General features: G+C 41.9%; 2 protein-coding genes across 13 annotated transcripts in view, besides 5 other annotated features; one reads left to right on the top strand and one right to left on the bottom strand.

The window, feature by feature from the left end:
* Positions 3,364–3,513: an enhancer, noted in NCBI's record as "active region_15527". NCBI's record gives its function as "activates an Ori minimal core promoter by ATAC-STARR-seq in GM12878 lymphoblastoid cells {active_cell/tissue: GM12878}" and the evidence as "EXISTENCE:reporter gene assay evidence [ECO:0000049][PMID:35858748]".
* Positions 3,528–4,052: an enhancer, noted in NCBI's record as "H3K27ac hESC enhancer chr2:29092829-29093353 (GRCh37/hg19 assembly coordinates)". NCBI's record gives its function as "activates a minimal SCP1, AML or CMV promoter by ChIP-STARR-seq in primed H9 embryonic stem cells {active_cell/tissue: H9 hESC(primed)}" and the evidence as "EXISTENCE:reporter gene assay evidence [ECO:0000049][PMID:30033119]".
* On the top strand, positions 3,706–24,194 carry TRMT61B (tRNA methyltransferase 61B). Of its 11 annotated transcripts, none has more exons than XM_005264393.4 (7): positions 3,706–4,436; positions 8,896–8,998; positions 12,707–12,897; positions 21,516–21,607; positions 22,717–22,916; positions 23,610–23,687; positions 23,773–24,194. In XM_005264393.4, the coding sequence occupies exons 1-7, from the start codon at positions 3,738–3,740 to the stop codon at positions 23,814–23,816; spliced, it is 1,407 nt and encodes a 468-aa protein (XP_005264450.1). In that variant the 5' UTR covers positions 3,706–3,737; the 3' UTR covers positions 23,817–24,194. The 11 variants fall into 11 exon arrangements, 10 of the variants coding, with proteins under 10 accessions (XP_005264450.1, NP_060380.3, XP_016859890.1 ...); NM_017910.4 differs by having other exon boundaries at positions 22,717–22,943; XM_017004403.2 differs by having other exon boundaries at positions 4,331–4,455; positions 22,717–22,943.
* Positions 3,744–3,913: an enhancer, noted in NCBI's record as "active region_15526". NCBI's record gives its function as "activates an Ori minimal core promoter by ATAC-STARR-seq in GM12878 lymphoblastoid cells {active_cell/tissue: GM12878}" and the evidence as "EXISTENCE:reporter gene assay evidence [ECO:0000049][PMID:35858748]".
* Positions 4,682–5,196: an enhancer, noted in NCBI's record as "H3K4me1 hESC enhancer chr2:29091685-29092199 (GRCh37/hg19 assembly coordinates)". NCBI's record gives its function as "activates a minimal SCP1, AML or CMV promoter by ChIP-STARR-seq in primed H9 embryonic stem cells {active_cell/tissue: H9 hESC(primed)}" and the evidence as "EXISTENCE:reporter gene assay evidence [ECO:0000049][PMID:30033119]".
* Positions 5,197–5,712: an enhancer, noted in NCBI's record as "H3K4me1 hESC enhancer chr2:29091169-29091684 (GRCh37/hg19 assembly coordinates)". NCBI's record gives its function as "activates a minimal SCP1, AML or CMV promoter by ChIP-STARR-seq in primed H9 embryonic stem cells {active_cell/tissue: H9 hESC(primed)}" and the evidence as "EXISTENCE:reporter gene assay evidence [ECO:0000049][PMID:30033119]".
* Positions 23,405–25,808, bottom strand: part of SPDYA (speedy/RINGO cell cycle regulator family member A) — a 39,777-nt gene continuing 37,373 nt past the window's right edge. For both annotated transcript variants that reach the window (NM_182756.4, NM_001142634.2), the window contains one exon: positions 23,405–24,165. In NM_182756.4, the coding sequence (NP_877433.2) occupies positions 24,074–24,165 (92 nt within the window). In that variant the 3' untranslated portion in view covers positions 23,405–24,073. The remainder of the gene's footprint in view (positions 24,166–25,808) is intronic.

Below are 25,808 nucleotides of genomic sequence, written 5' to 3'. Positions count from 1 at the left end.
TCCACCCTGGGTGACAGAGCAAGACCCTATTTCTAAAATAAAAACAAAAACAGGCAGGACCCACTGGGAGCAGAAGTGAAAGGCACTACTCTAGGTCTTTTGGGATTGGTACAAAGCCACCATTCCAGTGGTACTGTGAGGTTGATAGCTGGAGGACAAGGGAAAACTACACAAAATAGAGTGAAGAAGCATGTGCAAAGAGCTGGAGGAGATCACCTGTGGAACTAGAACTGGTTGCCTGTTTGGAGATTTTAAAATGCCAGCCATCAGCCATGGTATTTATTGAGAACTATTCAGATTTTAAAGTAAATGCTTAACTAAATGTCACTAGAAAACAGTATTTTTCTTAGCCTTATAATGTAAACATGGGCTGGGCGCGGTAGCTTACGCCTGTAATCCCAGCATTTTGGGAGGCCGAGGTGGGTGGATCACCTGAGGTCAAGAGTTCAAGACCAGCCTGGCCAACATGGTGAAACACAGTCTCTACTAAAAATACAAAAAATTAGCCAGGCGTGGTGGCACAGGCCTGTAATCCTAGCTACTCAGGAGGCTGAGGCAGGAGAATCACCTGAACCCAGGAGGCAGAGGTTGCAGTGAGCTGAGATCGTGCTATTGTACTCCAGACTGGGTGACAAGAGCAAAGTTCCGTCTCAGTAAATAAATTAAGTAAGTAAACATGATAAGTTGACGATGTATCACAAATTCATCATCAAGATAATAGTTTCAGAGTGCAGGCTGACAATTTCATAGGGAAAGCAGAAGTAAAGGATAGCCAGAAATAGAAAGGCCCACATAGTGACTTCTTTTTTAAGAATTTCAATGCTCTGAAAGATCATGAATAAATAATATTATTTTCCAAAATGTACTAATGTATTTCATTAGATGTGTATAAAACAAAATACGTATAACATTGTGGCTGTTATTTAAACAATGGAAAGAAAGTGATGCCATTTTCCATTTACAATTTGTTTTAAAAATCAAAGATATGTAAATTTACTTCCCATATTTTGTTAGTGTATTTTCTTTTTTTCCAATTCCTGCTTATTCTGAAATAACAGCCAAGTATCATTTGATAATACTCAAGAAATAATAAAGTAGGTATGATAACTTTTAAAACCACCATAGGGCTTAGAGTTCAGGAGGTTCCGGCTCAGACCCATGTTTGGCAATGATAATCTCCTTAATTTCAAGAATTTTATAACCAAAAATGAGTTTTTGTCTTAGAAAGCCTATCACAAGAAAAAGTAGTGAGAAAAGCCTACGACTCCAGAAACTATTGGTCATAACTTTTCCTAAAAAGCAAACTACACAAAGTGAGACACGCAGTTGGGGTGTGGAGAGAGCAGTTTCTTTATTCATTTTTAGAATTAGAAGGGAGAAATTTGGCTGGGTGCAGTGGCTCATGGCTGTAATTCCAGCTCTTTGGGAGACTGAGGTGGGTGGATCACCTGAGGTCAAGAGTTCAAACCAGCGTGGCCAACATGGCGAAACCCCGTCTCTACTAAAAATACAAAAATTAGCTGGGTATGGTGGTGCACACCTGTAATCCCAGCTATCTGGGAGGCTGAGGCAGGAGAATTGCTTGAACCTGGGAGGCAGACATTGCAGTGAGCCGAGATCATACAACTGCACTCCAGCCTGGGCGAGAGTGAGACTCTGTCTCACAAAGAAAAAAAAAGGAAAAAAAGAAGGGAGAAATCCTGTTGATGGAGTTTATGGTGGCTGATGTCCTAGAAAGTACTGATTAGAAAGTATTAATTTATGTCTTAGAAAGTAATAACGGCCAGGCGCGGTGGCTCATGCCTGTAATCCCAGCACTTTGGGAGGCCGAGGCGGGTGGATCATGAGGTCAGGAGTTCGAGACCAGCCTGGCCAACATGGTGAAACCGAGTCTCTACTAAAAATACAAAAATTAGCCTGGCATGGTGGCAGGTGCCTGTAACCCCAGCTACTCGGGAGGCTGAGGCAGGAGAATCGCTTGAACCCAGGAGGCAGAGGTTGCAGTGAGCCAAGATCGTGTCATTGCACTCCAGCCTGGGCAACAAGAGCAAGACTCTGTCTCAAATAAAAAAAAAAAAAAAGAATAACAAGATTTATTTCATCAAATTTAAACAGAATTCACATTGACTTCACAGCCCTTTGAATATACTTGGACTTTAAGTTCAACTGTGCTGTTGACCAGTCTTTCCAAACGGTGTTACAGTACAAAGAGCATGGGCTGCTGAACCAGACTGACTAAATAGGAAACTCTGCAATGCCACTTGTCAGCTATGCATCTTGACCAACTTATTATTATTATGTTGCACGTGGGTCTTGAAATCCTGGGCTCAAGCAATCCTCTGGCCTGGGTCTCCCAAAGTGTTGGGGTTACAGGTGTGAGCCACCACTCCTGGTTTCCCCAAATTATTTAATCTCCCTGGGCCAGTTCTTTTACTCATAAAATGGATTTGTTTCTAACACAGAATTGTTGGAAACTTAAATGAGTGTCTAACGTGCCTCGTATTGCCAGACTCTCAATAAACTTTTGCCCAGTCAACTAATATCCAGCAAAGAGGCTAGCGATTTTTCTTTTTTTTTTGAGACAGAGTTTTGCTGTGTCGCGCAGGCTGGAGTGCAGTGGTAGCTCGATCTTGGCCCGCTGCAACCTCCGCCTCCTGGGTTCAAGCTATTCTCATGCCTCAGCCTCCCTTGTAGCTGGTATTACAGGCGTGCACCATCGCGCCCGACTAATTTTTTTCCCCCGAGAGGAGTTTTGCTCAGTCGCCCAGGCTGGAGTGCAGTGCCGAGATCTCAGCTCACTGCAACGTCTGCCTCCCGGGTTCAAGCGCTTCTCCTGCCTCAGCCTCCCGAGTAGCTGGGATTACAGGTGCGTGCCTCCACGCCCAGCTAATTTTTGTATTTTTAGTAGAGACGGGGTTTCACCACATTTGCCAGGCTGGTCCCGAACTCCTGACCTCAAATGAGCCGCTTGCCTCGGTCGGCTTCCCAAAATGCTGGGAGGCTAGTGATATTTAACGCTAAATAACTCTGGCCTCCAAAGATACCTGTTTCCATTTTAAGACACTTCTATTTCGTTTTGGGAGGGTAAACTAGTTATATTTTAATAATGAAAACATGTGTTACATAAGCACATAGTGAGTACTCGAATCAACCTCGGACTCTCCGGGCGTGAGGGGTGGGTGAGGGGACCGGCAGGTGGTCACAGCCCCATCAAAAGGGAGTTGGGGCTGGGGGATGTCGCGGTCAACTGGGAAAGGAGAGCCAATCAGCAAGTGGCGCGTCCCACGCCGTCTGTCAAATGCATCTGGGGGTTAGCTGTACTCATACATCTTGTGGGTGACTAGGTGACTTCCGTGTTCAAGACACAAGCGAGCTAAGCCTGGGATTTCAGTTTGCACAGCGCTTTGTTAAGTTTTGTCTCTCAATCTTGCTGTCCAAGAGCGAACCTGGAGGTCGTCTGTTAGCGGTAAATTCTTTACCCACATTCCGAAAAGGAAAACGGCGGCCGCGCGCGAGGACATATTCCTTGGATGGTCACTCAACCAGGACTCCGCTGCTCCCGCGCCCTAGCTTGACCTAGCGCACCGCCCCCTCCCCGACGCAGGCGCAGTCGCGGAGCTGTAGAGCCCCACGCAGCTGCAGAGCCATCGGGCTGCTGCGCCATGCGCGCGACTGGGAAAGAAGGGGTCGCGCTAGGCTTGCGTCACTCGTCTGCGACGGCGCCTTCGCGAAACACTATGCTAATGGCATGGTGCCGCGGTCCTGTCTTGCTGTGCCTGCGGCAGGGGCTCGGAACCAATTCATTCCTGCACGGCCTGGGGCAGGAGCCCTTCGAGGGAGCTCGGTCACTGTGTTGCAGGTCCTCGCCTAGAGACCTGCGAGATGGAGAAAGAGAGCACGAGGCGGCACAAAGGAAAGCCCCAGGAGCAGAGTCTTGCCCATCTCTCCCTCTGAGCATCTCGGACATTGGGACTGGATGTCTTTCGTCACTGGAAAACCTCAGACTGCCGACGCTGCGGGAAGAGTCATCCCCTCGAGAGCTCGAGGACTCGAGCGGAGACCAGGGCCGGTGCGGTCCCACACACCAGGGATCCGAGGATCCTTCGATGCTCTCGCAGGCCCAGTCCGCTACCGAGGTCGAAGAGCGTCACGTCTCCCCTTCTTGTTCAACTTCCAGAGAGAGACCCTTTCAGGCTGGGGAACTGATTTTAGCTGAGACTGGGGAGGGAGAAACAAAATTTAAGAAATTATTTAGGTTGAACAACTTCGGACTCTTAAATAGTAACTGGGGGGCAGTCCCGTTCGGCAAGATCGTGGGGAAGTTCCCCGGCCAGATACTGAGGAGTTCCTTCGGTAAGCAGTACATGCTGAGGAGGCCAGCCTTGGAAGACTATGTAGTATTGATGAAAAGAGGGACTGCCATAACATTCCCAAAGGTAATGCGATGGAGATAAGGTGTGTATTGGTTTCAGGAGGGGCAAAGACAGATGCAGTACTCAGTCCTGATTAATGTATTCAAAGACATCTCAGAACGTTTGGATTTTTTATTGTACTCAGGCTTTTAAAATAAACCAATGGTTATAACTTTTACATATCATGATGAAAATTAGCATTAGGGAACGGCTAGATTTTAATTTTAACTTAGGAGTCTCGAGTCCCTTATTTGTAAAATGTGGATAATAGCTCAACTTTCTGTTAGGGTGATGTGAACTCACTACGTACATAATAAGTACTAATTTTGTTCCCCATTACTCTTAAGTTTATAACTTCAGGACTCAAGAGAATGTTGAACTCTTAGGGAACAATTTTTTAGTACTACTATGATGATATTTTAATATTCAATAATCATGTTACAAGAGTATATTAACAATAGGTACATTACGGTGCTTTTCCCCTTTTAGGGAAGAAATAGAGTTTTATATTACAATAGCTAACATTCAACACCAAACATAAAATGACTATTCTTTATTAAAAAGTTAACTGCCTAAAGCCTAGTTTCAGTCTTTTTTTTAAGACAAGTTCTCACTCTGTCATCCAGGCTGGAGTGCAGTGTTGCGATCTTGGCTCCCTGCAACCTCTGCCTCCCGGGTTCAAGCGATTCTCCCACCACAGCCTCCTGAGTACCTGGGACTACAGGCATGCACCACCACCCCGGGCTAATTTTTGTAGAGACGGGGTTTCGCCTTATTGCCCAGGCTGGTCTTCAACTCGTGGCCTCAAGTGATCCGCCCACCTCGGCCTCCCAGTGCTGGGATTACAGGCGGGAGCCACCGCGCCCAGCCCTAGTTTGAAGCTTATGCTAATCATCTATTGCTAGCAGATTATTTCAATCCTTAGTCACAGTCCTTGAGTAGAATGTTCCTGTGTAACACAACTCCTCCTCCTTTCTCCAGATCAGGATTCATTCGTTATTTATTCAGCAAATTGACTGCCTTCCATACTCAAGGCACTGTTTAGGGAAGTATAGTGTTGAACTGCAGTCCTCACCCTCAACATAGACCTTACATTCTAGAAGGGGTGACAAAGAACAAACAAGTAAATGAAAGAATAAGGTCATTTCCAGTAGTGTTAAGTGTCATGAAGACAAATATATTAACAATGACATTGTTTTGGGTGACCTGGGGTATGAGCATACTTTATGTCAGGTGAGGAGAGATGGTCTCCAAGGAGGTACACTTGATAGGAAACCTAAATAAGGAAGAGCTTGCCTTGTAAACAGATCTAGGAAGAGAATTGTTCTTGCAAAGGGAGGAATGCTGCAGAGTTTCTGTTGTGGCCTCAATGGGTCAGATGAGGGACCCCGTATGAGGTGTGGTTTGAGTATTTTATTCCATTTGTAGTGAAGGACCATTAGAAGGTTCTTAGTAGGAATCCAGTCTGTATTTTAAACGGTCTACCCAGGGACTAAAAAAACTTTCCTCAGAAACTTAGGCTACTGAGGTATAATAAGCTTTTTTTGTTTAAAGACAAGGTCTTGCTATGTCACCCAGGCTAGAGTGCAGTGGCTCAATCACCTCTTACTGTAGCCTGAACCTCCCAGGCTCCAACAATCCTCGCACCTCAACCTCCTGAGTAGCTGGGACCACAGGTGCATGCCACTATGCCTAGCTAATCAAAAATTTTTTTTGTAGAGTTGGGGTCGCCCTAACTTGCCCAGACTGGTCTCAAACTTCTCTAGGCTCAAGGGATCCTCCCTTGAGGGTGCTGGGATTACAGGTGAGAACGACCGCTCCTGGCCATGGTATCATAAGCTCTTGAAGAAAACTAAAAGACTTTCGTAATTTTATCTTGCTTCCCCGTGTCTCCTTTCTCCCCATTAGACAAAATCAGGAGAGATTAGTTACATTTCATGAAGTTATAAATATGCATATTTAGTATACTTTCTGCCTTTCCATTTGTTACAGATAAAAGTCACATTGTTCCACTCTAAGGAGGAATTTAAGTACTAAATTTGTTAGGTGTTGACTTCTCTTTATAGCTTCCAAGTAATGGCTGGAGATAGTTTTACTTCAACTTCTACAACTTTGAAATGCTTGAGGGAATACCTTCACTGATGTTTAAAAACTGATCTCCCTGTTAGAATTACATAATTCCATCTTAGTATTAAAAATATGACCAGAGGCAGAGTGCAGTGGCTCACACTTGTAATCTCAATATTTTGGGAGGCTGAGGCAGGAGGATCATTTGAGCCCAGAAGTTTGAGACCAGCCGGGGCAACATAGGGAGACCTTGTCTCTACAAAAAATAAAAAATTAGCCAGGTATGCTGGCACACACTTGTGGTCCCAGCTACGCAGGAGGCTGAGATGGGAGGATTGTTTGAGCCCAGGAGTTTGAGGCTGCAGCGAGCCATGATCTTGCCACTGCACTCCAGCCTGGGCAACAGTGTAAGATCCTATCTCAAAAAAAAAGTGAGGGGGCAGGTGCCGTCACTCACACCTGTAATCTCAGTGCTTTGTGAGGCCAAGGCAGGAGGATTGCTGGAGGCTAGGAGTTCAAGACTAACCTGGCCAACATAGCAGGACCCCATCTTTATAAAAAATAAAAAAAAAATTAGTTGGGCATGGTGGTACATGCCTGTGGTCCCAGCTACTTTGGAGGCTGAGGTAGGAGGATTGCTTGAGCCCAGAAGTTCGAGGCTGCCGTGAGCTACTATTGCACTACTACACTCCAGTCTGAGTGACAGAGACCCTGTCACCAAGAAAATTTGTTTACTAAATTTAAAAAAACAGTTTTTATTAATATCATCCGTAATATTTGTGTTAACAAAAACAATTCCAATTATATGTTTGGCAAGTGGGTCCTCCAATCTAGTAATAGCATAGTCTCTTTTTTTTCTTATATAGCAGGGCTCCCCTACCCCCAGGCTGAGGACTGGTACCAGTGTGTGGCCTGTAACAGGGAACCGGGCCACACAGCAGGTTAGCGGTGGGTAGTGAGCATTACTGCCTGAGCTCCATCTCTTGTCAGATCAGCCATGGCATTAGATTCTCATAGGAGTGCAAACTCTTGTGAACTGTGCATGCACCAGATCTAGGTTGCATGCTCCTTATAAGAAACTAACTAATGCCTGATGATCTGAGGTGGAACAATTTCATCCCAAAACCATCCCCCTCTCCCCAGTCTGTGGAAAAACTGTCTTCCACGAAACGGGTCCCTAGTGCCCAAAAGGTTGGGGACCGCTGTTATATAGTATCTTAATTCTAAATTAGAAGTTCATCATTTGGCCAGGCACGTTGGCTCACACCTGTAATCCCAGCACTTTAGGAGGCCGAGGCGGGCAGATCACCTGAAATCAGGAGTTTGAGACCAGCCTGGCCAACATGGTGAAACCCCATCTCTACTAAAAATACAAAAAATTAGCTGGGTGTGGTGGTGGGTGCCTGTAATCCCAGCTACTTGGGAGGCTGAAGCAGGAGAATCGCTTGAACCCAGGAGGCGGAGCTTGCAGTGAGCCAAGATTGTACCACTGCACTCCAGCCTGGGTGACAGAGCGAGACTCTGTCCCCCCAAAAATAAGAAGTTCATCATTTTGAGCTGGGCACACTGGCTCACACCTGTAATCCCAGCACTGTGGGAGGCTGAGGCGAGCGGATCACCTGAGGTCAGGAGTTCAAGACCAGCCTGGCCAACGTGGTGAAACCCCATCTCCACTAAAAATACAAAAATTAGCCGGGCATGGTGGCAGGCACCTGTAATCCCAGCTATTCGGGAGGCTGAGGCAGGAGAATCGCTTGAACCCGGGAGGCGGAGGTTGCAGTGAGCCAAGATCGTGCCATCACACTCCAGCCTGGGGGACAAGAGTGAGACTTCGTCTCCCAAAAAAAAAAAAAAAAAAAAAAAGGAAATTCATCATTTTATGCAGAGATTATATAGTAAATTCCTAACTGGTCTTCCTGCCTCTTGATTTTTCTCCAGTAGATCCTGTATTCTTCTGCCAGATTAATCCTCATAAAATGCCATTTATATCACCTCAGTGACACACCCTAGTTGCTTATCAGGCTGAGTTCTAATGCCTCATACTGGCATTTAATTCTCTGCCTATCTCTCCTGAGATAACAAACTGGATTTATTCTACCTCTGCTTTGTTTAAAGCTGTTTTTACCTTGTGATTGTTCCCATAAATTGTCTACTCTTTGTCTTTAAACTAGGCCATCCTGCTACTCTATGAACTTATTGTCTGTAATTTTGGTATTATTCTGAAGTGTTGCCTTATTTGTTAATTGATTCTTGGATCTCTTTTATTTCATCAAGTGAAATATAAACTGAAGGCAGGTCCAGAGTCTGATTCGTTTTTTCACTCCCTTCTTCTGCACACCCAACAATGTAAGATAAGACTAGGTGCTTAGTACATATTTATTGGTCGCTGAGTCACCCATACTGTTTTCAATCATAGGATATTAATATGATTCTCTCAATGATGGATATCAACCCAGGTGATACTGTTTTGGAAGCTGGCTCAGGCTCTGGTGGAATGAGCTTATTTTTATCCAAAGCAGGTAAGAGATTGGACTGAGCTGGATCTCAGTAACAAAGAAAACATTCAATTTGTTCATAATAACAGAAAGGTATAAAGATATTTGGGAAAATACCTAACATTGAGGTAGCATTCTCCTAGAATCTGAAAGTAAGCAACTATTTTTCTTTCCATTCTGTACATTTATTCCAGTCAGTCTCTTTCTAATCCTCCCTCAATTTTCTTTGCTTTGTTTTACTTTCTCCATGCTCTCTAATGCTGCTTCTTTTTTCTTAAGTATACTTTTTATTGGAATATAATATGGCTACAGAAAAGTGTGCAGATCATAAGTGTATATCTCAATGAATCTTTGTATAGTGACCACTCATGTACTTATTACCGAGATCAAGGTAGGGAGTGTCCCTGCCCCACAGATGCCTCCTCATGTCCCCTCCCAGTCCTTATCATCACCAAAGGAAACCACTATTGTGACTTTTATCATCACTGATTAGTTTTGCCTCCTTCGAACTTATATAAAATGGAATCATACAGTATGTGCTCCTTTGTATCTGGCTACTCTCATTCATTATTATGTTTGTGAGATTCACTCATTGCATGCAGCAGTAGTTCTTTCATTTTAGTTGCTGTATAATACTCTCTATTTAAATCACAATTTACCTATTTTACTGTTGATAGACATTTGAGTTGGATATTACAAATAGTGCTGCTTGGAACCTCCTTGTGTACTTGTCATGTTATTGTTGAATACTAGTGCCAGGTGAATACTTAGCCTGAGGGAATATGGAAGGACGTTGTCAGCTGTTGGGGGGAGAGTTATATATCGTTAGGGCCAAAGAATTATAGTAGGTGTTCATAAAGAAATTAATCATAGTACAGAGCTATTAAGTAAAAAGCTAGATCATGAAGAATTATCTTTTTTTTTTCCAGAAAGTCTCTAAAAATTGTCAGTTGGTAAAAGTACTGCTTGAAGGTGGGTGTCTGATCAAAAATCAAGAGGTGTATATTAAACATATATATTTTTTCATGTTCCTACCACTTAATTTCTAGTTACTTTTATGCTAGTTGATTAGTACCTCTTTGCCTACCTAATTTCTCTGAGTGTCAGGGTTGCTTTGGGTGGTCTGTCTGTGCAGTGTTCTCTTCCCTACATAATACTAGACTGCTGAATAGTCACAGTACTTTCTTTGAGTAGATTTTATAAAGATTACAGATAGAAATATGCTGAAATTAAACTCACACCTTTTGTTCTTTGACCTAATGTCTTCACATATGAATATTATCTAGATTATACTAAGCCGGTAAATTCATTCTGGGCTCCTCAATCAATCTTTTGTTTGACTTTTCTGTACATAGTTAAAGGCAGTCATTTTCTCATCATCTATGACAAATTCCTAACTGCACGGTTTCATTTGACAAAGTGGATTTATAAAAATTGGTGAGAACAGATAAGTGCCTATATTTCTAAAATATATAGTATCAGAAGAGTGTCATGGCTTGAATAATCCTAAACTATAAATGTGCAAGAACTTATTGCTATTTACCTATGTGATGGATATTTTTCTCCATATTTTCTTTTCCAGTTGTTTATGTTACTTTTTTTTTTTTTTTGAGGCGGGTTCTCACTCTGTTCCCCAGTTTGGAATGCAGTGGTATGATCGTGGCTCACTACAGCCTTGACCCTCGGAACTCAAGTGATCCTGTCGTCCCAGCCTCCCAAGTAGGTGGGACAATAGGCACATACCACCAAAGCTGGCTAATTTTTAAAGTTTTTGTAGAGACTGGGTCTCACTGTTGCCCAGGCTGGTCTTGAACTCCTGGCCTCAAGCAATCTTGCCTAAGCCTCCCAAAGTGCTGGGATTACAGGCATGGGGCACCACGCCCAGCTTATGTTACTATTAAAATTAATTTTTATCTCCTGAGAACCTGATAACTTGCAGTTGGAGTTACATTTCAAAAGATACCTTGGAATTTAAACTTCATTAGTAAACTGTAAACTGATTGATCTGGGATAATCTCCAAATGGTATCAAATCACTTCAGATAGAGGTGGGTGGAAAGTTAATTGCCTTAAGTTAAAATGTAGTACTCCTCTCTGGAATTGCAGTATTACTGTGCTAATTAGTTTAAAAGTTCTTCACATACACACACACACACACACACACACACACACACACAAATACAAATACCTTTAATTTTTTTTTTTTATTTTTTGGTAGAGACAGGGTTTCACCATGTTGGCCAGGCTGGTCTCGAACTCCTGACCTCAAGTGATCTGCCTGCCTTGCCCTCCCAAAGTGCTGGGATTACTGTGGCGAGCCACTGTATCCGGCCACAAATACCTTTTAAATATATGAAAGACTCAACCTCATCCATAATAAAAGAAATGCAAGTTAAAATTACATTAAAAGGCTGAGCATGGTGGCTCACGTCTGTAATCCCAGCACTTTGGGAGGCCGAGGCAGGCAGATTGCTTGAGCTCACGAGTTTGAGACCAGTCTGGCAACATGGCGAAACCCTGTCTCTACCAAAAATACAAAAAGTTAGCTGGGTGTGGTGGCACACACCTGTCGTCCCAGCTGTTCAGGAGGCTGAGGTGGGAAGATCGCTTGAGCCTGGGAGGTGGGGGTTGCCGTGAGCTGTGATTGCACCACCGCACTCCAACCTGCGTGACAGAGTGAGATCTTGTCTCAAAAAAAAAAAAAAAAACCAAACTCAAAAATCTACATTAAAAATGATAAACTTTATTCACTTTTTAGATTGATACAGATAAAAAGTTCAATAACTTAGGGAGAGTATGGAGATACAGGTATTCTTTTTTTTTTTTTTTTTTTTTTTGAGACGGAGTCTTGCACTGTCACCCAGGCTGGAGTGCAGTGGCGCATCTTGGCTCACTGCAATCTCTGCCTCCCAGGTTCACGCCTTTCTCCTGCCTCAGTCTCCCGAGTAGCTGGGACTACAGGCATGTGCCACAACACCTGGCTAATTTTTTGTATTTTTTTTAGTAGAGACAGGGTTTCACCGTGTTAGCCAGGATGGTCTCAATCACCTGACCTCATGATCTGCCCGCCTCGGCCTCCCAAAGTGCTGGGATTACAGGCGGGAGCCACTGCGACCGGCCTGAGATACAGGTATTCTAATACATTGCTGGTTGGCATATAAGTTGACACCACTTACGTGGAGGACAATGTAATATTATGTGAATAAATTCACATACCCCTTGAGCCAGCAATTCCATTTTTAGGACTTTATCCTGTAGAGATATACTGGCTTGATACAAAGACTTAGGTATAAGAATTTTCATTGCAGTATTGTTTATATTAGCATATGACTAGAAACAAGCTAAATGTTCATCGTAGCCATACAGTGAATATAATGCCTGTTAAAAAAGAATGCAGTACATCTAGAAGCACTGAAATGACATTGGTAAGTAAGAAGGAAGGTACAGGACAGTGTGTATAATACACCACAGTGTGTATTAAAAACACAGAGAGATACTTGGCATGCTTGTATAGGCAGTGACTATCATGGGAAAGGTAAATAGCTGGTAATGTGGTTGCCTCTGAAGAGGGAGGGAGATTAATTGGAGATCAGGGATAGGAGATCAGACTTGTAACATTGAACTATTTGAATTATTTTTTTCACATACATGTAGTACCTTTGCAAAATACATTTTTGACACTTTTTAATAAACTGATTAATATTATGAAATATCAAATTATTTTTTACTTAAGTTGGATCACAAGGACGAGTCATAAGTTTTGAGGTACGAAAAGACCACCATGATCTGGCTAAGAAGAATTACAAACACTGGCGTGATTCATGGAAATTAAGTCATGTAGAAGAGTGGCCAGACAATGTGGATTTTATTCATAAGGACATTTCAGGAGCAACCGAAGACATAAAATCTTTAACATTTGACGCAGTAAGTTTTCTAACGTGGGTCCTGTGTTATTACTTTGACTATAAAGAAGATAGGGGTCAGGCTTCTTTTGTATGGGCAAAGGTCTTCCTTCGTTTGCTTCATGTCTATCTCTAGGGATTGAAAGAATATTTTCGTTTCATGCCTTTTAATCTCATGGTGGGATTTGGGACAGAGAGACATACTGAGTTACCGAGTTGGGTGCTGAAGTTGTCATTGAATGTGGGGTAATGACTGAAAGCTAGGACCAAAGACTAGTTGAGCATCATGAACCTCAGCATTTCTAGGATGAATCATACTTTGGAAGCAGCATTGGAAGCATATTGAACCCGGCACCTAACCTGAACTGTGAGATTTGGGGGAATAAGTAGCTTCCATTTGACAGGGAATAGGCAGAAGGCATCTTTAGTTAGTTGAAGTCAGGATATCAAGGGGAGTGTGTTCATTGAAGATGTCGAGGACAGAGGTGTTTATCATGAACAAAGCTCCAGAAAGTGGAGCAGAGACATTGTGAGGAAGAGAAACACTGGGAAGTTGACTTAGGGAAAAGAAGCAGAGAAGATGAAAGTAAAAAGATAGATGACAAGAGAGGATACATTAAGCTGCGATCAAACATGGTGGAGATCTGGGACATGGAAGTATTTGCTGGCTGAAGAGTTTCAGAATTCCTTGGTGATGCCACTTCACAGTTCATAGCTTCACACTATGGACTGAGGCCTTGGTTAGGAGTCTTTCTTCCTTTCCTTAATTGGCTGCTGGAAGGATGGACTGTTTTGGTGAGAAATGAAGCAAAGTTCAAAGAGGAGAGAAAATCTTTTTTTTTTTTTTTTTTTTTTTTTTTTTTTTTTGGCAACAGAGTCTCATTCTGTTGCTTAGGGTGGAGTGCAGTGGTACAGTCTCAGCTCACTGCAACCTCCGCCTGCCGGGTTCAAGCGATTCTCCTGCCTCAGCCTCCCAAGTACCTGGGATTACAGGTGCACGCCACCATGGCCAGCTAATTTTTGTATTTTTAGTAGAGATGGGGTTTCACCATGTTGGCCAGGCTGGTCTCGAACTCCTAACCTTAGGTGATCTGCCCATCTCAGTCTCCCAAAGTGCTGGGATTACAGGCATGAGCCACTGTGCCTGGCCATGAAAATGATTTTTATCAGCACTGGCTTCCAGCTCTGATATAACTAAAACCTATAGTTTTAGTGGCACAGCTTCCTGTACAGAAAGACCTCAGTTCTTTTTTCTCATTTATGGCTTGCATGTTACAGCTCAATAAGGGGGAAAGAGCTCTGTTTAGGTCATCCATAGGAATGTCAAAAATACCTGCGAGATTAAATTGGTCATCAGAATTTTGCTTGATGAGCATGAAACACAACAAAGGATTTTAATGATATCATTGAAGCTTTGTAGAAACCTGCTGAACCATTCCTGATCTAAAAAGAACACTCTTTTTTAGATTTATTCAGCTGAATCTCTCTTGAATAATAGTGCCAGATGATTACTCAATATGAGGGAATAGAGAAGGAGAGGGGGTGTCAGCTGCTGGGGGAGAGTTATATACCGTTAGGACCAAAGAATTATAGTTGGTGTTCATAAATAATTATAATACAGAACTGTTAAGTAGAAGCTAGATCATGAATAATTTCCTTTTCTTAAGAACGTTTCTAAAAATTGTACATTGGTAAGAGTACTGCTTGAGGGTTGGTGTTTGATCAAAGATCAAAAGGCATATGTTAAACATAAATCTCTGGCAGGGCACAGTGGCTCACGCCTGTAATCCCAGCACTTTGGGAGGCCGAGGCAGGCGGATCTCCTGAGGTCAGGAGATGGAGACCATCCTGGCTAACACGGTGAAACCCCGTCTCTACTAAAAATATAAAAAATTAGCCGGGCGTGGTGGCGGGTGCCTGTGGTCCCACCTACTCGGGAGGCTGAGGCAGGAGAATGGCGTGAACCCGGGAGGCGGAGCTTGCAGTGAGCCGAGATCGCGCCACTGCACTCCAGCCTGGGTGACAGAGCGAGACTGCATCTCAAAAAAGAAAGAAAGAAAGAAAGAAAAATACAAGAATTAGCCAGGCATGGCGGTGGGCGCCTACAATCCCAGCTACTTGGGAGGCCGAGTCAGGAGAATCGCTTGAACCTGGGAGGCGGAGGTTCCAGTGAGCCAAGATTTGCGCCACTGCACTCCAGCCTGGGAGACAGAGCAAGACTCTATCTCAAAAAAAACAGAAAAGAAATAAACAAATATGTATGTATAGATGTGTATTTCTGATACTGTCATTCTCCTGCTGAAAAAATCCGGAGCTTTTCTTTTTTTTTTTTTTTTTTTTTTTTTGAGACGGAGTCCTGCTCTTTCGCCCAGGCTGGAGTACAGTGGTATGATCTTGGCTCACTGCAACCTCCGCCTCCCGGGTTCAAGCGATTCTCGTGCCTCAGCCTCCTGAGTAGCTGGGATTACGGGCGCCCGCCACCATGGCTGGCTAGTTTTTGTGTTTTTAGTAGAGATGGGGTTTCACCATGTTGCCTAGGCTGGTCTCGAACTCCAGGGCTCAAGCGATCCACCCGCTTCAGCTTCCCAAAGTGCTGGGATTACAGGCGTGAGCCACGGCACCTGACCCGGAGCTTTTCATTCAAAGACTTCTGGTGGCCAGATCTGATCTGAACCTTCCTTTCTCTAGTCCTTTATGTAACCTGACTCCATACATGCCAACCAAAATGATGCTAAATGAATAAAAAAGGTGTTAAACCATTAAAAAAAATAGAAAAAAGAGCATGACTAATAAAAGAATTAGCCGGGCGCAATGGCTCACACCTGTAATCCCAGCACTTTGGGAGGCCGAGGCGGGCAGATCACAAGGCCAGGAGATCAAGACCATCCTGGCTAACATGGTGAAACCCCATCTCTACTAAAAATACAAAAAATTAGCCGGGCCTGGTGGCGGGTGCCTGTAGTCCCAGCTACTGGGGAGGCTGAGGCAGGAGAATGGCCTGAACCCGGGAGGCGGAGCTTGCAGTGAGCCGAGATGGCGCCACTGCACTCCAGCCTGGGCGAGAGTGCGAGACTCCGTCTCAAAAAAAAAAAAAAAAAGAATTAAACAAATTTTGGAAACAGCTTAACCATCAAAAGAGAATAGACACAATGGAATACTAACAATAAATGTACTCTAGCTACATCAATAAATCTGAAAGACTTGGTGTTTGGTGGAAAAAGCATTATAAGAGAATATGTGAAATGACCGCCTACATGTAAAATTTAAAACTACACAACATGTATTGTTTGTAGCTATATACATATGTTGTAGAAGTATAAAATTTGGGAATGTTACCAACTTCAGGACAATGACTCTTTCTGAGGAGAGAAAAGGAAGGGAAAGGAATAGAGGGAAATAAGTTTGGGGTCCATTCAGATTGGTCCACTGCCGGGCTCCATAATCGCCAGTGTAACCTTGGGTAAGTCACTTAATCTTTCCATGCCTCGGTTACCTCATGTATTAAACAGGAATGATAATAGTACCTATTTCATAGAGTTGTTGAGGATTAAATAAGAGAATTCATGTAAAGTACCTGGTACATAGTAAGCACTGAATAAATGTTAGTTATGTTTTTCATCATTTTGATTTTCTTCCTTTCCTCTTTTCTCTGCCTGTTTAAACTCTATTCTCCCTTTAAAGCTTAAAGGTCATCTCCTGTGTGAAATATCCTTTCATCATCTAGCCAGAGGATTATTACCTTCCTCTGAATTTCTGAACCACTTTGTTTCTGGAGTCAACAGGCATTTATTAAGAACCTGCCATGTGTCGTGTGCTGTGCTAAGACAAAAATTATACATTCAAAAGAGCTTTTGAAAACAAAAAATGAATAAGAAATATTAAAAAATTAAAAAAAAAATAGCTGTGGGCCAGGCATGATGGTTCATGGCCGTAATCCCAGCACTTTGGGAGGCTGAGATGGGTGGATCACTTGAGGTCAGGAGTTTGAGACCAACCTGGCTAACATGGTGAAACTCTGTCTCTACTAAAGGTATAAAAATTAGCTGGGTGTGATGGTGCAAGCCAGTAATCCCAGCTACTTGGGAGGCTGAGGTAGGAGGATCGCTGGAACCCAGGAGGCAGAGGGTGCAGTGAGCTGAGATTGTGCCACTGCACTTTAGCCTAGGTGACAGAGCAAGACTCTGTCTCAAAAATTAAATTAAATTGGCCAGGCGCAGTGGTTCATGCCTGTAATCCCAGTACTTTGGGAGGCCAAGGCGGGCGGATCATGAGGTCAGGAGTTCGAGACCAGCCTGGCCAACATGGTGAAACCCTGTCTCTGCTAAAGATAAAAAAAAATTAGTTGGGTGTGGTGGCGCATGCCTGTAATCCCAGCTACTCGGGAGGCTGAGGCAAGAGAATCTCTGGAAACCGGGAGGCGGAGGTTGCAGTGAGCTACGATCGCACCATTGTACTCCAACCTGGGCGACAGGATGAGACTCCATCTCAAAAAAAAAAAATTTAATTAAATAAGATAAAATGAAATAGACATATGAGCAATTACTAAAAAGACTCAGAAGTATAAAACACCATGGCTGTAGAACTTGGTATGAGGAGATGAGTCTGTAAATGCAGTCATGAGGGGCTAGATAATAAAGAAAGTTGTGTATATATCAAGCTGGATAGTATGGACATTATCTTGTAAGTAGGAGAGTAGACTGTCTAGATTTCTGTTTTAGAATAGTTCTGGAGAAAGAATGGAGGCTGGGAGTCTATGCAGAAAGGTATTATAATATTTCAACAAGATATGGTGAGGTGTTGACCTAAGTCAATGTCTGTGGGATTAATTTCAGAAACACTGGAGGTAGATTTGTGAGACTTTAATTCAAACAGAAGCACCAAAACCCCAGAGTCTCAAAAGAGAATTCAAGGTAAAGAAAATGATGGCTTCTTGATTAGGCTTTGAAAAAAGAAAATGATGACTCTTAAGTTTCTGGTTTGAGTAACTGGATAAATGCTGTTAACTGAGAATTGAGCATTCAAGATTTGCAGTTTTCTGGGTTATCTGACTTTGGTCCTTGTCAATAATATAGTAAAACTACAGTCTGAGAACCCATTTATGTCATCATGTTGACCCTTGATTGTCATTGAAATCTTGACTTGGATATTTATTTATTTATTTATTTATTTGAGATGGAGTCTCACTCTGTTGCCCAGGCTGGAGTGCAATGGCGTGATCTCGGCTCACTGCAATCTCTGCGTCCCTGGTTCAAGCATTTCTCCTGTCTCAGCCTCCTTTGTAGCTGGGACTACAGGCACCCGCCACCATGCCCAGCTAATTTTTTTGTATCTTTAGTAGAGACAGGGTTTCACCATGTTGGCCAGGTTGGCCTCGAACTCCTCACCTAAGGTGATCCACCCGCCTCGGCCTCCCAAACTGCTTGGATTACAGGTGTGAGCCACCATGCCTGGCCTTGACTTGGATGTTTAATAGGCATCTTAAATACATGTCCAAACCTGAATTCTTATTTCCCCCAAGCTTGCTCCTCCCATAATCTTCATCATTTTCCTCATTAGTAAATGACACCTCCATTCTTTCGGTGGCTTAGGCTAAAAACTTTGGATTCAGTTTTCTTTTTCTCACATCCTACAGCCAATTCTAATTCTAATTGGCTCTGTCTTCAAAATATATACCACTTCTTACCACACCCACTGCTCTTTGCTATTACAAGCCACTGTCATCCTTCCTTGCATTCTCAGTGTTTTCTGCATGTAGATTTTAAAGTGAGTCAGAGTATACTTAATGACAGTGAATTGTATACTTAAAATGGCAATGTTTATTTTACCACACACAAAAATAGTTTTTTAAAAAAGTTCAAATCATGTCAATCTTTAAAATTCTTCAGTGGCTTCTCAATTGAGTAAAGCTAAAGCCTGCATGATTCTATGTAATCTGTGTCCACCACCTTCGATGTCATCTCTTACCACTTGCCCCCTTTTATCTCCACTGCAGTGACAGTGGCCTCAACAGACTCCCCAAGTAGCCTACTACCTGAGTGTTTGTATTAAATATTTGCTGTTCCCTCCACCAGGAGCTCACTTCTCCCCTACATTTTCATGGGTTAAACTTAATTTTATTTTCTTCAGGTCTCTTCACTGACCAGTCTATGTATAAAATGACACCTCCTTTCCCTGACCTGTCCCTTTCTTTCCCTCTTTCTCTGCTTATTTTGTTTGTTTTGAGATAGGGTCTTATCCTGTCACCCAGGCTGGAGTGCAGTGACACAATCACAGCTCACTGCAGCCTTGATTTCTCAAGCCCAGGTGATCCTCCCTCCTCAGCCTCCCAAGTGGCTGGAACCACAGGAGCATGCCACCACGCCTGGCAGTTTTTTTTTTTTTTTTTTTTTTTTTTTTTTTTTGAGACGGAGTCTCGCTCTGTCGCCCAGGCTGGAATGCAGTGGCCTGATCTCTGCTCACTGCAACTCCGCCTCCTGGGTTCAAGCTATTCTCCTGCCTCAGCCTCCTAAGTAGCTGGGATTACAGGTGTGCACCACTGTACCTGGCTAATTTTTGTATTTTTAGTAGAAACGGGGTTTCGCCGTGTTGGCCAGGCTGGTCTTGAACTCGTGACCTCAGGTGATCCGCTCACCTCGGCCTCGCAAAGTGCTGGGATTACAGGCATGAGCCACTGCACCCTGCCATTTTTTTTATTTTTATAAATGCGGGGTCTCACTGTGTTGCCCATGCTGGTCTGGAACTCCTGGCTCAAGCAATCCTCCTCCCTTGGCTTCCCAAAGTGCTGGCATTACAGGCATGAGTTACCACGCCTATTCTGCTTTATAACTGTTTTTCTTCATGTCACTCACCACCCTCTGTCCTATTTATTTATATGTTTTCTTATTTTTGTTTAATGTCTACCCCTTCATTAGATCCCGTGAAACAGACTATAAGCTCCAACTATATCCTTACCACTTAGAAAAATGTTTGCCATGTAGACAGTGCTTAATAAATATTTGGTGAATAAATTAATAAGATGTCCCTTGACTGATTAGTACTGTTTTTAAAAGACACAAACAATCTAATATTTTATCATTTAGTAAATAGATATGCCAGCATATCTCTAAGCTTTCTGGAGTTAATACAACAGTAAATGTTACTTTATTTTCTATTTTGACCAGATTTATTTTTTGTTTTTAATTAATTTTTTATTTGAAAAATTTTCACTTATCTTTGTACTTACTGGCATCTTCTGTGACTATAGCCATGTATACTGCAATTGAAACAAGAATAAAGAGGAAATAAGGGATATGATTTTTTTTTTTGAGACAGAATCTCACTCTGTCACCCAGGCTTGAGTGCAGTGGTTTAATCTTGGCTTACTGCAACCTCTGCCTCCCGGGTTCAAGTAATTGTCCTGCCTCAGCCTTCCCAGTAGCTGGGACTATAGGTGTGCACCACCACACCTGGCTAATTTTTGTATTTTCAGTAGAGACAGGGTTTTGCCATGTTGGCCAGGCTACTCTCAAACTCCTGACCTCAGGTGATCCACCCGCCTGGGCTCCCAAAGTGCTGGGATTATAGGCGTGAGCCACTGCCTCTGGCCAACAATGTGAATTTCTGTTGCCAAAGCTGAAATAAAGCATTTAAATTTATAAGTTTTGGCAATAGAAATTCACATTGTCAGCCAGGTGCAGCGGTTCACATCTGTAATCCCAGCATTTTGGGAGGCCGAGGCGGGCAGATCGCTTGAATCCAGGAGTTCAAGACCAGCCTGGGCAACATGGCAAAACCTGTATCTACATAATATACAAAAAGTTAGCTGAGAATGGTGGCGCCTGCCTGTAGTCTCAGCTACTCGAGAGGCTGAGGTGGGAGGGTTGCTTGAGTTCAGGAGGTGGAAGTTGCAGCGAGGTGACATTGTGCCACTGTACTCCAGCCTGGTCAACAGAGCGAGACCCTGTCTCAAAAAAAAAAAAAGGAAATTCACATTGTCTCAAATGTTTAAATTTTTCATGTTGTAATGGCGTGTTTTACACTTGGCAATATTGATAATACAGGCATACAGGAATCTTTCTTTGGTTATATTCATATATACATACATAGCCAAATCAATATTTCCATATTAATATGCAAAGTACAAGACATATCATTATGATTTTTCAGTATCATCAAGTACTATGACAAATTGTTTTTTCTTCCCTGAGACAGGATCTCACTCTTGCCCAGGGTGGAGTATGATGGCACAGTCATAGGTCACTACAGCCTCGAACTCCTAGGCTCCAGTGACCCTCCCACCTCAGCTTCCTGAATAGCTGGTACTACGGGCTTGTGCCACTGCATCCAGCTACTTTTTTTTTTTTTCAATAGAGTCAGAGTCTCGCTATGTTGCCTGGGCTGTTCTCAAACTCGGCCTCAAATGGATCCTCTTGCCTCAGCCTCCCAAAGTGTTGGGATTACAGGCAGAAGCCACATTGCCCAACTGTATAATAATTAACATACCCTTTTGGGAGTGGTAAAATGATAGTTAATAATACTACCTTCTAAAAAATGAAATACTTTGATTGCTGTCCAAAAGTGTGTCATTTCACCACAATAAGAAAACTTATGCTTTATTTAAACGGAATCAGACTGATCCAGTTCTCTTTTTCCCCCACACAGGTAGCTTTGGATATGTTAAATCCTCATGTTACTTTGCCTGTTTTTTACCCACATCTTAAGCATGGTGGTGTATGTGCTGTATATGTAGTAAAGTGAGTAATATAACTGTTTTTCTTTGTAATGTAACTTTTAAGTGCACTTTTGCTTAAGTATCAAACTAAATTTTTTTTTTTTTTTTTTTTTTTTTGAGACAGAAAAAAACTCTGTCACCCAGGTTGGAGTGTAGTGGTATGATCTCAGCTCACTGCAACCTCCACCTCCCCTGTTCAAGCAATTATCCTGCCTCAGCCTCCCAAGTAGCTGGGGTTACAGGCGCCCGCCACCACGCCCGGCTGATTTTTTCTATTTTTGGTAGAGAAGGGGTTTCACCATGTTGGCCAGGCTGGTCTTGAACTCCTGACTTCAGGTGATCTGCTCACCTGGTCTCCCAAGGTGCTGGGCTTACAGGCTTGAGCCACCACGCCCAGCCAAAATATTCATTTTGTAACTGAATAAAGTGTATATGGCATCTTATACAACTGTTTTAAAATGACAAGTCCCAAGTTCATTTATATTACTGTATATTTATTTAGTGTTTTTTTTTTTTAAACTTTTTTCGTTTTTTTTTTTTTTTTTTTTTTTGAGACAGAGTCTCGCTTTGTCACCCAGGCTGGGGTGCAGTGTCATGATCTCAGCTCGCTGCAACCTCCGCCTCCTGGGTTCAAGTGATTCTCCTGCCTCAGCCTCCTGAGTAGCTGGGATTACAGGTATGCGCCACCACACCCGGCTAATTTTTGTATTTTAGTGGAGACAGGGTTTCACCATGTTGGCCAGGCTGGTCTGGAACTCCTGACCTCAAGTGATCTGCCCCCCTCAGCCTCCCAAAGTGCTGGGATTACAGGCGTGACCCACGCCCAACCCTATATTACTGTTTAAATCATTTTTTACATAAATAGTAATATAAGATGCATATTTTCTTCTGACAATCTGGAAGAAATGTTTTAAAAGTATAATGTGAACAGTAATGTTAAATTATGGTCTCTGTGTTTGTTTACTTAGAATTTTGTGAAGGTACTTTTTATGCCTCCTAACTTGCATATTTAAACCCTCTCCTGCCTTAATTTAACTATGGTATTTAAATGTGGGCAAGAGGTATAGGGAACTTAAATAAATATAATGTTATTATTTTAGTAGAAATGTAAATTTTTCACTTTTCTGAAAGCATCACACAGGTTATTGAACTTTTAGATGGAATTCGCACCTGTGAACTTGCTCTTTCATGTGAAAAGATAAGCGAGGTCATTGTCAGAGATTGGTTGGTTTGCCTTGCAAAACAGAAAAATGGAATTTTAGCTCAAAAAGTAGAATCTAAAATCAACACAGATGTACAACTAGATTCTCAAGAGAAAATTGGAGTTAAAGGTGAGCTGTTTCAAGAGGATGACCATGGTGAGCTTCAGTTTTACTTTATGCATGCAGTAATGAATGGAGAATGAGTTCCTGAGTATACTGACCAATAGATTATAAAAATATTCCTCAGCAATTTTCTATAGAAAAGTGTGATATTTATTCTGTTAAGATGTATAAGGCACAGAATAATGACTTTTCCTGCCTTTTACTTAAAACTCTGATACCTTTGAAGAATTGAGCTTTTTATAATATTCATATTTTACTTGTCACAAGGAGCTTGGTTTGTGAAATAATTTAAATGTATTAAGGATGTTTTATATTTAGATCACTGATTATTAATGGGACCTGATAGGCAAATAGCTAATATTCCAAAAAGCAACTTCTAAGATGCTGCTGGAATTCTTGAAAGAACTGAGTTTAGGTCTTTGTCATATATACACATTATTTAGGCCATGAACAAGTTTTCAAGTATCAGTTGATTTATGATATAGGCTTATCCATTTGGTTATAAAATCATATGTTTATTACATAATCATTGACAAATAGTTTCTGTATAATAACTGGCAGAGTAGCTCTAAAACATATGCAAGGAAATAAATAAAGAAAAAACTTACAATAAAGAGAGTAACTCATATTTTAACAGTTTTGTGAAAAAAATAGAAAATATTTTATGTAGCTTATAGTACATATATTTTTTTACAACAGAAGAATCGCATTCTGATTTTCCATATGGATCATTTCCCTATGTTGCTAGACCAGTACACTGGCAACCTGGTCATACAGGTGAGTAATGTTTTCAGAACATATTAAATGGTGTTTTTTCTTTTAATTAATATAATGACTTTATGTTTTTCTTCTCTTAAATTAGCTTTTCTTGTCAAGTTGAGGAAGGTCAAACCACAACTTAACTGAGTACTCCAGATGACAGTAACTGACTTGAAGATGGAAAAATATCAAAATAGAACTTTATATTGAAAATCACTGCTTCCATAGATTGGCATTTTTAGCTATTACTATGACTTATATAACTTATACATATAATTTTGAAAATAACAACTAAAAGATGTATAACATAGCAAAACTGCTTAAACATCCCATTTTGACACTTGTCTTGCAGTTAGTTTGACATTTTGTAGTTAATGATTCCAAATTGGTTTAGTTGGGCCATCTCATTCTTCACTTCCTGTAAACCACTCCATAGATTTGTCTTTCTTCAAGAAATTAGTTTTCTTTCCTTTATTTGATTGATGGTCATTGACTACTGAAATAAAATATGCATTTTAAGATAAATTTTATGTATCTGTCCATTTTAAATACATCTTATAATGGCTTGTATATGTCTTAAAAAATAATAAGGAAATCTGGGCTACAGTAAATAATGGGGGGAAACTTAAGAATGATATAATCACCTTAAAAATTGTAACAAAAGATGTAACAGGCTCTTGAATCTCTTTTATCCCCTCAGAATCTTTTTAACCAGCTTGAAAGAACATTAGAATTATTCAGTGTTACTACACAAATTAAATGTTTGGGGGCTGGGCACAGTGGCTCACGCCTTTGGGAGGCCAAGGCAGGCAGATCACCTGAGGTCAGGAGTTCGAGACTAGTCTGGCCAACATGGCAAAACCTTGTCTCTACTAAAAATACAAAAATTAGCTGGTTGTGGTGGCGGGCACCTGTAATCCCAGCTACTTGGGAAGCTGAGGCAGGAGAATCGCTTAAACCTGGAAGGCGAAGGTTGCAGTGAGCTGCGACTGTGCCACTGCACTCCAGCCTGGGTGACAGGGCGAGACTCCATCTTAAAAAAAAAATGTTTGGGGAATACATTTTGGAAACATGAATTAATTACAAATGGGACTTATTATTCATAGGCACCAGTTATTTAGCACTTACCACATACCATACATTGTTTTGAAAACTTTATATATGTTTTTCACTTACTATGGACAACTTATCTTTCAGGTTATCCATATTTTACAGATAAACAGTGACTTAGAATGATTAGGTCTCTGTTTAAATATAGATGTTTTATAGGTTTTTAGTTGTGTGTGTGTGTTTTTTTTTTTGAGACAGATTCTCATTCTGTCACATAGGCTGGAGTGCAGTGGCGTGATCATGGCTCATTGCAGCCTCAATCTCCCAGGATCAAGCAAGCCTCCCACCTCAGCTTCCCATGTAGTTGGACTACAGGCACATGCCACCACGCCCAGCCAATTTTTGTGGATTTTTTGGTAGAGACGGGGTTTGTCATGTTGCCCAGGCTGGTCTCAAACTCCGAAGCTCAAGCAGTCCTTCTGCCTTGACCTCCCAAAGTGCTGGGATTATAGGTGTGGAGCCACCATGCCCGGCCTGTTTTATGGGCTGTAAAATAGTAATGCCTTGGAGGGTAAATGCTACCATTCCTAGATTTATCTCTTAGGCTAGAAGTATTTAAAATTATACATGTGTGTAAATTTTTTATTAAATAACATATTATAGAACGTAGGACATTTTAAAGTAAAATCTCTGCCTTTTTAGAGTTTATAGTCTATGATAGAGCTTGACATTAATCACACAGATGTAAAACTAAAACTGTTATAAATTCCCCCCAAAGAAGTACAAGGTACTATGAGTAACCATAATGGGGGACTTTGCCCTAGCAAGTGACAATTGAGCTGAGAACTGAATGCTAAGTAGGAATTAACTACAGCAGGGAAAATGGGAATAAAAAGTGATGCTGGGGTAGAGTGGAAAAGACTGGATAGATAGATGGGGATGAGGCCATGCAAGTTCTCATATGCCCGTGAAGGAATTGGTGTATCCTAAGAAAAATGGGATTCCATTGAAGAATTTAAGTAAGGGGTGACATGTTTAGATCTGTGTTTTGAAAATCACTCTGGCTGCATTTAGACAAGTGATTGAATC

Source organism: Homo sapiens, chromosome 2, assembly GCF_000001405.40.
Source record: "Homo sapiens chromosome 2, GRCh38.p14 Primary Assembly".
Taxonomy (NCBI): Eukaryota; Metazoa; Chordata; class Mammalia; order Primates; family Hominidae; genus Homo; species Homo sapiens.
The sequence above is the reverse complement of the archived record's forward strand: the minus strand, read 5'-3'. Positions and strand labels throughout refer to the sequence as shown.

Bases quoted from the DNA above. Each gene is read 5' to 3' on its own strand.
- TRMT61B (NM_017910.4), top strand. From the start codon at position 3,738: ATGCTAATGGCATGGTGCCGCGGTCCTGTCTTGCTGTGCCTGCGGCAG. The intron at 21,608-22,716 runs GTGAGTAATATA...CTTTTCTGAAAG, and splicing joins TGTGCTGTATATGTAGTAAA to CATCACACAGGTTATTGAAC. The intron at 22,944-23,609 runs GTGAGCTTCAGT...TTTTTACAACAG, and splicing joins GTTTCAAGAGGATGACCATG to AAGAATCGCATTCTGATTTT.